Source organism: Homo sapiens, chromosome Y, assembly GCF_000001405.40.
Source record: "Homo sapiens chromosome Y, GRCh38.p14 Primary Assembly".
NCBI lineage: Eukaryota > Metazoa > Chordata > Mammalia > Primates > Hominidae > Homo > Homo sapiens.
Genome location: NC_000024.10, coordinates 22465491 through 22480796, shown reverse-complemented (window position 1 = coordinate 22480796; position 15306 = coordinate 22465491). Strand labels below are relative to the sequence as shown.

The 15306-nt window shown below is 46.3% G+C and overlaps 1 long non-coding RNA gene across 1 annotated transcript in view; it reads right to left on the bottom strand.

Annotated features, from left to right (window-relative positions):
- LOC101929148 (uncharacterized) overlaps positions 1-15306 on the bottom strand; it is a 45775-nt gene that overhangs the window by 3918 nt on the left and 26551 nt on the right. Inside the window, exons 8-9 of the long non-coding RNA NR_110413.1 lie at positions 1943-2032; positions 141-476 (exon numbers count right to left, since the gene is read on the bottom strand). This is a non-coding gene — a long non-coding RNA (uncharacterized LOC101929148). The remainder of the gene's footprint in view (positions 1-140; positions 477-1942; positions 2033-15306) is intronic.

Genomic DNA, 15306 nt, shown 5'->3' with positions numbered 1-15306 from the left:
GCCCTGAAGATGAAAGTGTGGAGGCCACATGCCACCAGCATCAATCCCTCCCAATCCCAAACTGGCCCTGTCTTTGAAAGAGCAACCCCGGGGAATACAGGCAGCCTGTACCTGCAAATCACAGTTTTAAAAAGACTCACCCTGACAAAGTCCGGGAGGCCTTAGGCATCCTCCAGGTCCTTTTGGATCTGTAGGAGTTTTGCGGCTTATTCCTGGGGCTGTGCTTGACTTTTCTTCAGGCTGGCTCACCTCCTCCCTCTCCTAGCCTCATGGGACTATCACGGGAATCCCACAGAGAAATGAGGCGAGAGTCCACCACTGACTAACCTCCACAGAGTTCTTCTCCGCAAAGCCGCAGAGACTTATGCCTAGGCAATGGTGGCCTTCGTTGTGATGCTAACCCGAGCCCATAGCTCAGTCCTTGTGCCTAAGAGTATGCAGACTTGGGCGACGGGCTGTCAGAACTGTCAGCCAGCCTAAGCGAAAAAAAAGAAAAAAAAAATACATGAAGAGACGGCATGGTATTGAAAAAAATGCTGCCTGCAATAACCCAGAGTGGGACCATAAAAGTCTCGACCATAGTGTCCCTTTGGGTCATCCCTCTGCTCAGGTCCTGCTGGAGAAGGAGGTGATTTGAGACTATAAGGTGGTCTTTGGAAATGCTACTCTGACTCCATTCCCAAAAGAGGCTGTGTGCAACAGTCGGGTCAGATGGAGATTAGACTATAGTCTGGTGAGTTGTTGAGGGCTCTTTGGGTGGTGGAATCATACATGAGAGACCAGAGGTGGGTGTCAGCAAAAGATGGCTGGGCTCTTGACCTCACTGCCTCCCTTCATGCTGGGCCTTGCAGGGGATCTCTGGGAAAGGAAGGGACCATGAAAAAAGCAAGTCCAAGGCAGAGCAGTGTTCTCTCACCTCCAGCTGACCCCTAAAGGATTCAGATGAGGTTGAGACAGTGTTTCAGAGCCCGTCTGTGATGATTGCAAGCCTAAAAGGGGTTTCCAGTAGTGCTGTTGAGGGGCAATGTGGACCCATGATGAAAGTAAAGAAAAATCAAGGCCCTCTTGAGAGAACCACATGACTTGTGCTGGAGTCCAAGCAACATTCAAAGATTTCTGTCACAGGACGGTAAAGCCTCCTGCAAATTGCAAACAGCATCAGCTGCAACAACGAGACCATGACCCACAAGCTGGAGCACAGCCAGCCTACCCAAATTCCCTTTTGCTTTCAGAAATCCCTGGCAGCCAAAAGATTTGTGCTGAGAGGCACTCCCATCCAGAAACAGGCCAATGAAAGATCCCCTCCACAATGAGAAAGGACATATAGATGAAATGAAACAGAGTCTAGTTTACCAGGCAAAAGACAGAAATGGCTGCCTGCTTCTCATCCTAGAGGAACTGTGCAGCCCTCTGATAGAAGTGGGAGAACAACAGTTTCCTTGCTGGCTTCTGCAATGGGAGTTTACAGTTCTAAAATTATTACAACTCTCCAGTCATTAAAACTTGATATTGTTTAGAAGGAAATATTCACTCAGTGGATTCCCGTGAGTGTCGTCCTCCATGAACTTGGAAGTGTTTAGTTTGGAAGACATTGACCCAGACCAAGGAAACCCTATGCTGACCAGGAACACGGAAGTCAAGAAAACAAGAGGCAAGTGTGGAGGCCACATCCCACCCAGCATCTATCCGTCGCCCTCCCATTACGCTTCAGATATAAAAGCCCTCAAATCAGGACTTTGTCAGAATGGCCCCAGTTTGCACTCCAAATATTCCCTGAATATTGGAGTACTCCCACCTGAACAACAGGGATGGTGTGGACTGCTTGTGCAATTAAGGGAATTCGGGGATGTAGTTGGAAACACCTTCTGTGTCATCTGTCTTCAACTTTTTTGTAGGCTAAGGTGTGGGACCCCATCCACCCCTCAGCAGATTGTATCCTCACCTGTATCTGTCCTTATTGCTGTTCACACTCTCTGTTCCAGAAAAAAAATCCTGAAATGATGGAGGAGTTGCCCTTCATGACATGTAGAACCTGCTCTCCTGGGAAACAAATTCGAGGTAAATCCAAAGGGCCTTGTGAACAGCACTGCAACTGTCTCTTCCTGAGATGGCCGCATAACAATGAAAAACTTTGTGATGTCTGTTCTTAGGTGTGGTTTCCTCCTATTCTGTCTTGAAAAGTGACATTTTTTCAGCGGGAGGGGACTTGGACCCTGGTGTGTCACAGCCAGCATCTCAATTAACTGCAGATTAATGACCCACAGAAAAATAAAGAACATGCATCCCAAGTAAAGCAGCAGAGACAGACCACCGAAAGTTCTGGAGACTCAAAAAAAAAAATGCTACAGTGTGATAGCCACATTCCTTTAAGAAGACTCCACTTACAGACACACACACACACACACACAAACACACAATGCTACACACATGCAGACTTCCAACATTTGCAACACTGCCACAGAAACATACATCCTGGCAACTCCTGAAGCTGCATGGTTCTGTAGGAAGCCCCACATGGTATAGAGCAACCATGGACAACACAGCTGGGCTCTAACTAGAAATCATAGTGGGGCAAGTTTCAAAAAGACACCCCTACAATTCTTAGGTAGGCCTGAGGAATCCACTTCTGCCCTATCCTAGGATCATGGGACTATGTCGTAGATCCCACAGAGAAAAATAGCAGGAGTCCACTTTGCATGCATCCCCATGAATGTCTCCTTTTTCTGCCAAGTCACAGGGCCTTGTCGCTAGGCAATGATAACATTCATTGTGATGCTCAAAAAAGCTCACAATCAGGCCTGGTGCCCTGAAACTAGTGCATGCACATTCTGGAGGTAAGCTCAGGCACCTGGCTGTCAGATCAGTCAGCCTGCCTAACCAAGGAAAATGGTACAGGCAGAATCTGCCTGGTATCAGGAAAAAAGCAGCCTGTGAAAAACCATTGCTGGACCCAAAAAGCCTCCATCTCAGGGCCCCTTTGTCTGTCTCTGTGGTTGGGTCTCACTGGAGGAGAAGGCGTTTTGAGACTGTGAGGTGGTTTCTGGAAACTACTCTTCTTACTCCATTCCCAAAAGAGGATGTGTGCCAGAATTGGGTCCCATGGAAATCGTTTTATAGTCTGGTGTGCTGTTGAGGGGTTTTTGGGTGATAGAATCTGACTTCGTTGAGGGATTTTTGGGTAAAAGAATCATACTTGAGACCCCAGAGGCAGTTGTCAGCAAAAGATGGCCGGGCACTTGACCTGTTCTTACACATCAGACAGGCCTCTCACTGCTGCAGATGACGTTGAGACAGTGTCTCAAATGCCATCTGTAGCGATGACAAGTCCGAATAGTATGTGCAGTAGTGCTGTTGAGGGGCACTGTGGATTCCCCATGAAAGCAAAGAAAAATCTAGGCTCAAATGAGAGAACAAGCTGCCTTGTGCTGGAGTACAAGCAATGTTCAGTGATTCCTGTCTGAGGACCCAAAATCCTCCTGCAAATTGCAAACAACCTCAGCCTTGCCAACGAGACAACAACCACAATGCGGAACCCATCCAGCCTACATGAATTCCCTTTCACTCTCTAAAATCCCTGGCAGCTAATTCAACTGTAGTGAGAGGGATTCCCATCCAGGAAGAGCCCACTGAAAGAGCGCCTCCACAATGAGAAGGCCATGCAGATGAAATAAAACAAGCTAGATTATCAGGCAAAATCTAGACATGTTTGCCTGCTTCTCATCCTTCAGAAATCATGCAGCTTTCTGATACAAGTGGGAGAACAGGAGTTTCTGTTTTGGTGGCTATAACACAAATTTACAGTTTTAAAAATATTAAAGCTGTGCAATCATTAAAATGTGACAGTGTTTAGAAAGAACCACTCACGCAATGGATTCTAATGAGGGTCGTTCTTCATGAGCTGGGAAATGTTTACTGTGGAATTTGTTAAGCCAGACCCAGGAAACCCTAGGCTGACAAGGGACATGGAAGTCAGGAAAAGAAGAGGCAAATGTGGAGACCACATCCCACCCAACATCAGAACATTCCACTCCCTTTTGGCTCCGTGTAGGAAAGGCCTCAAATCAAGAGCTTGCCAGCATGGTCCCAATTGGCACTCCCAATACTCCTTGCACATTGCAGAACTTCCACCTGAACATTGGGCCATGGTGTGGATTGCTTGTGCAATTAATGAAACGTGAGCATGGGGTTAGAAGCACCTCCTGTGTCATTTGTCTTCATTTTTATTGCAGGTGAAGTTGTGGGATCCCTTCCACTTCTCATCAAATCATATCCTCACTCCAATCTCACCTTATTCCTTCTTATACTCAGTGTCCCAGGATGAAAACCCAAGATGATGGAGAAGTGCCCCTTCATAACACAAAACACCTGCATAGCTGGAAACTGAATTCATGGTCAACTCAAGGGGACCTGCAGACAGGACTGCTAGTTCCTCTCCCTGGGTTGGATGCAGGACAATGAAACGGTAGCAGGTGTCCATTTTTTGGGTGTGGTGTGCTCTTCTTCTTTCTAGCAGAGTGGATTTTTATTTTTATTTTATGTTTATTAATTAATTTATTTATTTATTTTTGCAGGGGGAGGGATTTGGACACCAGCAGGTCTCAGCCTGCCTCCCAATTCACTGTGGATTCATGATAACCAGAAAATTCAAAAACATGGAGCCCCACAGGCCAAGCAGAGCACACATAAAGGTCAAACAAAAGGTTTGGAGGCACAAAAAAAGAAGCGTTGTATTGCAGGATCTGGCCAGAAGCCCACAATGCAATGGAGTTCTCTCTTTGTTCCTAGGTGGATTGGCAGGTTGAGAAATAATAGACACACACAAGATAGTGAAAGCTGGGTCCAGGGGGGTCACCGCTTTCTGGTCCTGTGGTGCCAACAATGCACTGGATATACCAGCATTTATTATTAAGTGTAGTGAGGGCAGGTGTAGGTTAGTGAGGGATTTAGGGTCATTTCATTATAAGGTGAGATGGTCACATGGGGATGAAGTAATTCTTTAACATAGCATTTGTATGTACAAGTACAGTACATTTTTTATGTAGAAGTACAGTATACAGAGAGATAAGAATTTACAATATAGTGTGTGCATCAGTAATTTCTAACAGAGCCTTAGAACAGAAACACAGTCTTTCCATAACCTATGATTAGCAAGATATTAATCAGCAGTAACAATTGCAACAAAGCTGGTTACAAACAATCCATGGAAACAAGATGTGAAGCTAGACAACCAGTTAGACCAGAAATTCTCAGAAAGGAGTATGCCTTAACCCTAAAGAGGCCTAGAAGAGCCGTGGCAAGATGAGGGCATTTATAGCCTTATCTTATCCATATGGACAGGCGCCCCCCATGTGTCCATTTATAGGCTCTCTATGAGGATTGCATTCCATTCCCAGAGCTACGGACATCTGCTTTTCTGGGACAGGAGTCTTGGTGATGTGAAACCTGACTGCATGTCCATTCATAGGGTCTCTGCAGGGGGAAGCACATCACGTGCTGTTGGCTCATTCTGGCAGTCCAATCTGGCATTGTCTTTACACAATCCTGCATGCAACTTTGTATTTACAATAATCAGGTCATTTCATCTTTTATTCTGTAGTAATAGTTTCATGGGGTCTCCCTACAGTGGTGAAGTGTGGTAGCCACATTTCTTTAAGAAGCCTGCACTTACAAGAGCACACACACACACAAAATCACGATGTGACACACACGTAGACTTCCAACACTCCCAACATTCCCACAGAAACACACAGTCTGGCAGCTCCTGAGGCTGTGTGGTTCTGCAGGAAGCCACATCTGGCATAGAGCAAGCCTGGGGAACACAGGCGGGCTGTAACTAGAAATCACAGTGGGGCAAGTTTCAAGAAGACTCACTCACACCTACAAGGTCTAGGCAGCCCTAAGGTATCCTGCAGATCCCTTTGGATTCCTAAACATTTTGTGGTTTATTCCTGGGGCTGTGCTTATGTTTCCTGACTCTGGCTCTCATCTGAAATCTCCTAGGATCATGGGACTATCCTGCGGATTCCACAGAGAAGACAGGCAACAGTCCACCATTGACGAACCTCTACAAAGGTCTCCTTCTCTGCCAAGAGGAAGGTACTTGTCTCTAGGCAATGGTGACATTCTTTGTGATGCTAGCTAGAGCTCACAATCTGGCCTGGAGACTAGTGTATGTGCATTTGTGAAGTAGGCTCAGGCACCCAGCTCTCAGAACTGTCAGCCTTCCTAAGCAGAGAAAAATGGTAGAGGCAGAGCTGGCCTACCATCAGGAAAAATGTTGCTTGTCAAAAACCACTTCAGGACTCCAAAACTCTCAGCCTCAGGGCCCCTTCAGGCATCTTCTGTGGTCAGGTCCTGCTGGAGGAGGAGGTGTTTCAAAACTGTGAGGTTGTCACTGGAAACTGCTCTTCCAGCTTCATTCCCATAGAAGGCTGTGTGCCAGAATCGAATACCATGGGGAATGGAATCTAGTCCAGTGTGTTGTTGAGGGTTGTTTGGGTGATAGAATCATACTTAAACCCCAGAGGCAGCTATCAATGAAAGATGGCCGGATTCTTGACCTCACTGTCTCCCTTCATCCTGGGTCTTTTAATAGTTCTTTGGGAAATGAAGGAACCATAACAAAGCCAAGTCCAATGTGGAGCAGTACTTTGGGCTGGCCTCTCATGGATGCAGATAAAATTGAGACCGTGTCTCAGAGGTTGCCTGTGGTGATGGCAAGCCTGACAAAACTGTCCAGTGGTGCTATTGAGGGAAACTATGGATTCAAAATGAAAGCAAATGAAAATCAATACTGGCCTGAGAGAATGGGCTGCCTTGTGCTGGAGCCCAAGAAATGTTCAATATTTCCTGTCAGAGGACCCAAAACCCTGCTGCAAAGTGCAAACAACCTCAGTCACCACAATGAGATAACGACCCAAACCTGCAGCGCAGCCAGCCTGCCCAAAGACCTTTTTGCTTTATGAAATCCCTGGCAGCTAAATAATTTGTGATGAGAGGCAGCCCAATACAGCAGCAGCCCAATAAAAAAACACTTCCACAATGAGAAGGTGGTGCAGATGAGACGAAACAAAGGCTAGATTACCAGACAAAAGCCAGACATGGCTGCCTGATTTTCATTCTTCAGAAATCATGCAGCCCTCCAATGGAAGAGGGAGAACAAGAGTTTTCTTGTTGGTGGCTGTAATGAGAATTTATAGTTTTAAAAGTGTCTAAGATTCCCAGTCATTAAAATGTGACTGTGAGAAGGAAACACTCCTGCAATGGATTCCCATGAGGGTTGCTCTCTTTGAACTGGGTAATGTTTAGTGTGGAAATTCTTGAGCCAGTCATAGAAAATGCTAGGCCAATGATGAACATGGAAGTCAGGAAAAGAAGAGGCAAATCTAGGGGCCACATCACACAGAGCACCAATGCATTCCGCTCCCATTTGGCTCTGGATATGAAAGCCCTCATATAAGGAGTTTGTCAGAATGGCCCTAATTTACATACCAAAAGTTCCTGGTAGGTTGGAGTACTTGCACCAGAAACCAGGTCATGGTGTGGACAGCTGGTGCAATTAAGGGAATGCGGGGATGGTGTTGGAAGCACCTTCTGTGTCATCTGTCTTCCTTTTTATTTTTGCAGGTTAAGTTGTGGGACTCCATCCACCCCTCAGCAGGTTTTATACTCACCGCATCTGACCTTATTTCTGCTCACATTCTATGTCACAGGATAAAATCCCAAGACAATGGAAGTGGACCCCTTCATGACATGAAGCACGTGATCGAATTCAAGGTAAATTCAAGGTGCCCTGCAGACAGGACTGCTAGTGTCTCCCCCTTGGTTGGCCACAGGATGATAAAACACTGGGATATGTTCGTTTTTTGTGTGTGTGGTGTGCTCCTCATCTTTCTAGAGAGGGCCTTTTTTTTCAGGGGGAGGTAATTTGGATGCTGGGGGGTCTCAGGCCACCTCCCAATTCACTAAGGATTCATGATCAACAGAAAAATAAAGAACATGGAGCCCTGCAGCTCCAGCAGAGCCACATAGACAGGCCAAGAAAAGATAGGAATCTAAAAAACAAAAAAAAAAAAGAAGCACTGAAGTGTGTTAGCCCCATTCCTTTAAGGTGGCTCCACTTATGGGCACACACACACACAAACACACACAGACACACACACCCACACATCCAACATTTGCAACACTCCCACAGAAACACACAGCCTGGCAGCTCTAGAGGCTGCATGGTTCTTCATGAAGCCCTACCTGGGAGACTGCAATCCTGGGGAAAAAATGGGGGCTGTACTAGTTATCACAGTGGGGCAGTTTCTAGGAGACTCATTTCTACAACAATTTCATGGACCTGATAAATCCTGCAAATGCTTTTGGATCTTTGGGGATTTCACAGTTTATTCCTTGGGCTGTGCTTGAAGTTTTTCAGACTGGCTCATGCCTGTCCTCTCTTAGGATCTTGGGACTATCCCATGGATCCCACAGTGAAGACAGGCAAGAGTACACCACTGATGCACCTTCACAGAGGCCTCTTTCTCAGCCAAGCAGCAGGGACTTGTCACTAGGCAACGATGACATTTAATGTGACACTAGCCAAAGCTCACAATCAGGCCTGGTGCCCTGAGACAAGTGTATGCATATTTGTGAGGTCAGTTTGGGAACTCTTCTGTCAGAGCTGTCAGCCTGCCTTAGCAGAAAAAGGGTACAGGCAGAGCCAGTTTGGTATCATGAAAAAGGCTGCTTGAGAAAATCCACTCTGGGACATTAAGAGTCTCAACCTCAGGGCCCCTTTTGGCCATCCCCATTTTCAGGTTTCTCTGGAGGGGGAGGTGTTTCAAGACTGTGAGTTAGTTCTGTAAACTGCCCTTCTGAATCCATTTTCAAAAGAGGTTGTGTGCAAGAATCAGCTCACATGGGGATTGGAATATTGTGTGGCGTGTTGTTGAGAACTCAGATGCAGGTGTCAGTGAAAGATGGCTGTTTTCTTGACCTCACGGCCTCCCTTCATCCTGGTCTTTGCAGGGGCTCTCTGTGAAAGGCAGGAACCACGACAAAGGCAAGTCCAAAGTAAAGCAGTGTTCTGACACCTGGGACTGGCCTCTCACGGGTGCAGATGACGTTGAGACAGAGTCTCAGAGGCTGTTTCTGGTTATGGCAAATCTGAAAAGGGTGTCCAGTACTATTGTTGAGGAGCACTGTGGATTCCGCATGAAAGCAAAGAAAAATCAACTCTCACCTGAAAGAATGAGCTGCCTTGTGCTGGAGTCCAAGCAGTGTTCAATGACTCATTTCAGAGGACCCAAAAGCCTCCGACAAAGTGCAAACAACCTCAACACCCACAGCAAGACAACGACACATAACCTGGATCTCAGCCAACCCACCTGAAGTCCCTTTGGCTCTCAGAAATCTCTGGCAGCTAAATAATCTGTGGCAAGAAGCCATTCCATCCAGCAACAGCCCAATGAATTAGCCCCTCCATAATGGGACAGCCATGCAGAAGAAATAAAACAGAAGCTAGATTACCAGGCAAAAGCCAGAAATGGCTGCCTGCTTCTCATCCTACAGGAATCCTGTAGCCCTCGATAGAAGTGGGAGAACAAGAGTTTCCTTACTGTTGGCAGTAATGGGCATTTATGTTTTTAAAAGTATCAAATCTCCCCAGTATTTAAAACATGATAGTGTATAGAAGGAAACATTCACGCAATGGATTCTTATGGGGCTTGTTCTTAGTTAACTGGGAAATGTTTAGTATGGAAGTCATTGAGCCAGACCCAGGAAACCATATGCCAATGAGAAACATGAAAGTCATGAAAAGAAGAGGCAAGTCTGGAGGCCACATCCCACCCAGCATCAATCCATTCCATTCCCATTTGACTCCAGGTAAGAAAGCCCTCAAATCAGGAGTTTTCCAGGATGGCCCAAATTTGCACTCCAAATAGTTCTTTTGCTTTGGAATACTCCCACCTGAATACTGGGCCATGGTGAGGACTGCTTGTGCAATTAAAGTGACGGAAATGGAATTGAAAGCTCCTTTTGTGTCGCCTGTATTCATAGTTTTTTGCAGATGGAGTTGCAGAACCCCATCCAAACCTTACCAGATTGTGTCCTCACCCGTATCTGACTTTATTGCTGTCACACTCTCTGTTCCAGCATGAAATCTCAAGTTGATGGAGGAGTGCACCCACAGGACATGAAGCACCTTCTTGGCTGGAAACTGAATTCTGGGTAAATTCAAGAGGTTATGGGGACCAGAGTGCTACTGTCTCTGGGTTGGCTGCATTATAGTGAAACATTGGGAGCTATCTGTTCTTGGGTGTGATGCTCTCCTCTTCTTTCTAGAGGAGTGCCTTTTTTTTTCAGGGGCAGATAATGGGGAACCCAGCTTGTCACAGACTGCTTAACTAGTCATTGCTGATTCATGATCCACAGAAAAATAAAGAACAGGGAGCACCACAGTCCAAGCAGAGACACACAGACAGGCCACCAAAAGGTTGGGAGAATAAAAAATAAAAAAGCACTGCAGTGTGTTAGTTACATTCCTTTAAGCCGAATTCACTTACATGCACACACACAGACACACACACATAAACACATAAAGCCACACACACATGCAGACATCCAACACTTGCAATACTCCCGCAGTAACACACAGCCCAGTAGCTTCTGAGGCTGCTTCATTCTGCAGGAAGCCCCTCCTGGGAGAGAGAAAGCTTGGAAAACAAAGGAAGGCTAAACTTAGAAATTACAGTGGGACACATTTCAATAAGACAAACTGCTACAATGTCTAGGCAGGCCTGAAGAATTCTGCAGATCCTTTTGGATCTGTACGGATTTTGTGCTTTATTCCTGGGGCTCTGCTTGACATTTCTTCAGGCAGGCTCACATCTGCCCTCTCCTAGGATCATGGGACTAGCCCATGGATCCCACGGAGAAGACAGGTGAGAGTCTACTGCCGATGCACCTCCACAGAGATCTCCTTCTCCATCAAGCCAAAGAGAATTGTCACTAGGCAAAGGTGGCATTCATTGTAATGCTAGCCAGAGCTCGCAGCTCAGGCCCATTGCCCTAAGACTAGCACATCCACATTAGTGACTCAAATTAGAGCACCAGGGTGTCAGGGCTGTCAGCCTGCCTAAGCAGAGGAAAATGGTACACACAGAGTTGGCCTGGTATCAGGAAAAAGGCTGCCTGTGATAACCCATTGCAGGATCCTAAAAGTCTCAACCTTAGGGCCCTTATACGCTGTCTCCATGGTCAGGTCACACTGGAGGCAGAGCCATTTCAAGACTGTGAGGTTGTCACTGGAAACTACTCTTCTGACTCCATTCCTGAAAGAGGCTTTGTGCAAGAATCCTGTCCCATGGGGATTGGAATATATTACGGTGAGATGTTGAGGGTTCTTTGGGTGATGGGCTCTTACTTGAAATACCAGAAAAAAGTTGTCAGTGAAAGATGGCCTGGCCTTGACCTCACTGCATTCCTTCATTCTGGGTTGCTCAGGTGCTATCTGGGAAAAGCAGGAACCATGACAAAGGCACGTCCAAATTGAAGCAATGTTCTCAGACCTCGAACTGGTCTCTCACAGGTGCAGATGAGGTTCAGACAGTGTCTCAGAGGCCACCTGTGGAGATTGCAATCCTGAAAAGTGTATCCAGTAGTGTGGTTGAGGGGCAATGTGAATCCCCCATGAAAGCCAAGAAACATCAAGCATCACCTGAAAGAAAGAGCTGACTTGTGCTGGGGTCCAAGCAACATTTCCATATTCCTGTCACAGAAAGAAGAAGCCTCTTTCAAAATGCAAACAACCTCAGCTCCCACAAGATAATGATTGAAAACCCAACGTGCAGCCAGTCTACTCTACAACGATTTTTCTTCCTGAAATTCCTGGCAACGAAAATATCTGTGGCAAGAGGCAGTCCCATCCAGCAACAGGCCAATGAAAGAGCCCATCCACAAAGAGAAGGATGAGCAGATGAAATGAAGCAGAGGCTATATTACCAGGCTAAATCTAGACACGGCTGCCTGCTTCTCATCATACAGGAATCATTCAGCCCTCTGATAACAGAGGGAAAAGAAGAGTTTCCTTGTTGGTGGCTGTAATGGGAATTTACCGTTTAAAGGTATCAAAGCTGCCCAGTCATTAAAATGTGAAAGTGTTTAGAAGAAAACACTCACTCAATGGATTTCCATGAAGGTTGTTCTCCATGAACTAGGAAACATTTAGTGTAACAGTTGTTGAGGCAAACCCAGGAAACCACAGGTCAATGAGGAACATGCAAGTCAGGAAAAGAAGAGGCAAGTTTGGAAGCCACATCCCACCCAACATCAATTCATTCCAGTCGCATTTGGCTCTCAGATTGAAATCCTTCAAATCAGAAGTTTGCCAGGATGTCCCCAATTTGCACTCAAAATGTTCCTTGCACGTTGCTGTGCTCCAATCTGAAGCTGAGTTATGGTGTGGACTACTTCCGCAATTAAGGGAATGAGGGGATGGAGTTGGAATCACCTTCTGTGTCATCTGTCTTCATTTTTTTTTTCAGATGAAGTTCTGGGGCTCCCTCCACCCATCACCAGATTGTATCCTCACTCCTATCTGACCTTATTCCTGCTCATACTGTATGTCCTGGGATGAATGCCCAGATGATGGAGGAGTGCCCTCTCATGACCTGAAGAACCTGCTCAGCAGTGAAACTGAATTCGTGGTATGCCCGTTTTTTGGTGTGGTGTGCTCCTCTTCATTCTAGAAGGGTGGCTTTTTTTTTTTTTTTTTTTGCAGTGGCAGGTGACTTGGACACTGGCAGGTCTCAGCCCACCTCTCAGTTCACTGCGGATTCATGATCCACAGAAAAATAAATAACATGGAGCCCCACAGCCCAAGCAGAGCCACACAGACAGGCCACCAAAAGTTTGCAAGACTCAAAAAAAACCAAGCGCTGAAGTGTAGTAGCCACATTCTTTAAGCAAACTCCACTTACAAACACACACACACACACACAAAACAATGTCACACACCCATGCCAACATCCAACTCTCACAACACTCTTTCAGAAACACAGTTTGTCAGCTCCTGTGGTTTTGTGGTTCTGCAAGAAGCTAACCTGGGATAGGCAACCCCAGGGAATACAGGTGGGCTGTTCCTAGAAATCACAGTGCTGCAACTTTCAAAAAGACTCACACCTACAAAGTCTAGGCAGGCCTAAGTTATCCTTCAGATTTTTTTGGATCCTTAGGGATTTTGAGGTTTATTCCTCGTGCTGTGGTTGACGTTTCTTCAGGACGGCTCTCATTTGCCCTCTCATAGGCTCATGGGACTATCCTGTGGATTCCACAGAGAAGACAGATGAGAGTTCACCAACCACGCAGCTCCATGTATGTCTTTTTCTCTGCCAAGATGAAGGGACTTGTCACTAGCCAGCAATGACAATCATTGGGATGCTCACTAAAGCTCAGTAACAGTCTTGGTGCCCTGAGACTTGTGCATGCACATTCATGAGGCAGGCAGGCTTGGGCACCTGGCTGTCAGACCTGTCAGCCTACCAAAGCAGAGGAAAATAATACAGGCAGAGCTGGCCGGTATTGAGAAAAATGCTGCCTGTGAAAACCCACTGCAGGACCCTAAAACTCTCAATCTAAAGACCCTTTCTGGCCATCTCTCTGGTCAGGTCCTACTGGAGGAGGAGGTGTTTCCAGACTGTGAGGTGGTCACTGGAAACCTTCTGAATCCATTCCCAAAAGAGGCTGTGTGCCAGAAATGGGTCCCATGGTGATTGGAATATTGTCTGGTGTGTTGTTGAGGGTTCTTTAAGTGATAGATTCATACCTGAGACCCCAGTGGTGGATGTGAGCAAAAGATAGCCTGGCACTTGACCTCATTGCCTCCCTTTATTTTGGGCCTTTCAGGGGCCCTCTTTGAAAAGCAGGAACCACGGCAAGGCAAGTCAAAGGTAAAGCAGTGTTCTCACACCTCATACTGGCCTCTCAGGGGTGCTGATGAGATTCAGATGGTGTCTCAGAGGATATATGTGGTGATGGCAACTCTGAAGAAGGGTGTCCAGTAGTGCTGTTGAGGGGCACTGTTGAATCCCCATGAAAGCAAAAAAAAAAAAAAAATTCACTGCTCACCTGAGAGAACAAGCTTCCCTGTGCTGGAGTCCAAGTAATGTTCAATAATTCCTGTCAGAGGACCCAAAATCCTCCTGGAAAATGTAAACAACCTCAGCTCCCACAATGAGAAAAGCACCACAAGCTAGAGTGCAGCCAGCCTACCCAAAGTCCCTTTTGCTCTCTCAAATCCCTGGCAGCCAAAAGATGTGTGGTGAGGGGCAGTTCCATTCAGCAACAGCCCAGTGAAAGAGACCCTCCCCAATTAGAAGGCCATGCAGACAAGGTGAAACAGAGGCTAGATTACAAGGTCAAAGCAGACATGGCTGTCTTCTTCTCACTTTTCGGGAATCATTCAGCCCTCTGATAGAAATGGGTGAACAACAGTTTCCTTATGATGGCTGTAATGAGAATTTATGGTTTTAAAAAATTCAAAGCTGCACAGTCATTGACACATGACAGTGTTTAGAAAGAGGCAGTAAGACAGTGAATTTTCATAAGGCCCATTCTCTGTGAATTCTGAAATGTTTAGTGTGGAAGTCGTTGAGTCAGACCCTAGGCTCAGCCTAGGAAATCCTAGGCTGATGAGGAACATGGAAGTCAGAAAAGAAGAGGCCAGTGTGGAGGCCACATCCCACACAGCATCAACCCATTCCACTCCCATTTGCCTCTGGGTGTAAAAGGCCTCAAATCCAGGGTTTACCAAGATGGCTTCAATTTGCAGTCCAAATGTTTTTTGCACATTAGAGTACTCCCACCTGAACACTGGGCCAAGGTATGGACAGCTTGTGTAATTAAGGAAATGCAGGGATGGAGTTTAAAGAAGGATCTTTGTCATTTGTATTTATTTTTTTTTTGCAGATGAATTTGCAGAGCCCCATCCACTCCTCACCAGATTGTATCCTCACCCATATCTGAATTTCTCCCTGCTCATATTCTATGTCCCAGGATGATATCCCAAGACAAAGGAGGAGTGCCCCATCATGACATGAAGAACCGCTCAGCTGGGAGCCAAATTCGATGTAAATTCAGGGGTTTCTGCAGAGGACTGCTAGTGTTTCTTTCTGGGTGGGACACAGGACAATGAAACACTGGGAGATGTCTGTTTTTTGGTGTGGTGTGCTTCTCTTCTTTACAGAAGTGTGGTTTTCTTTGCAGGGGCAGGTGATTTGGACATTGGCAGGTCTCTGCCCACCTCTCAATTTGCTGCAG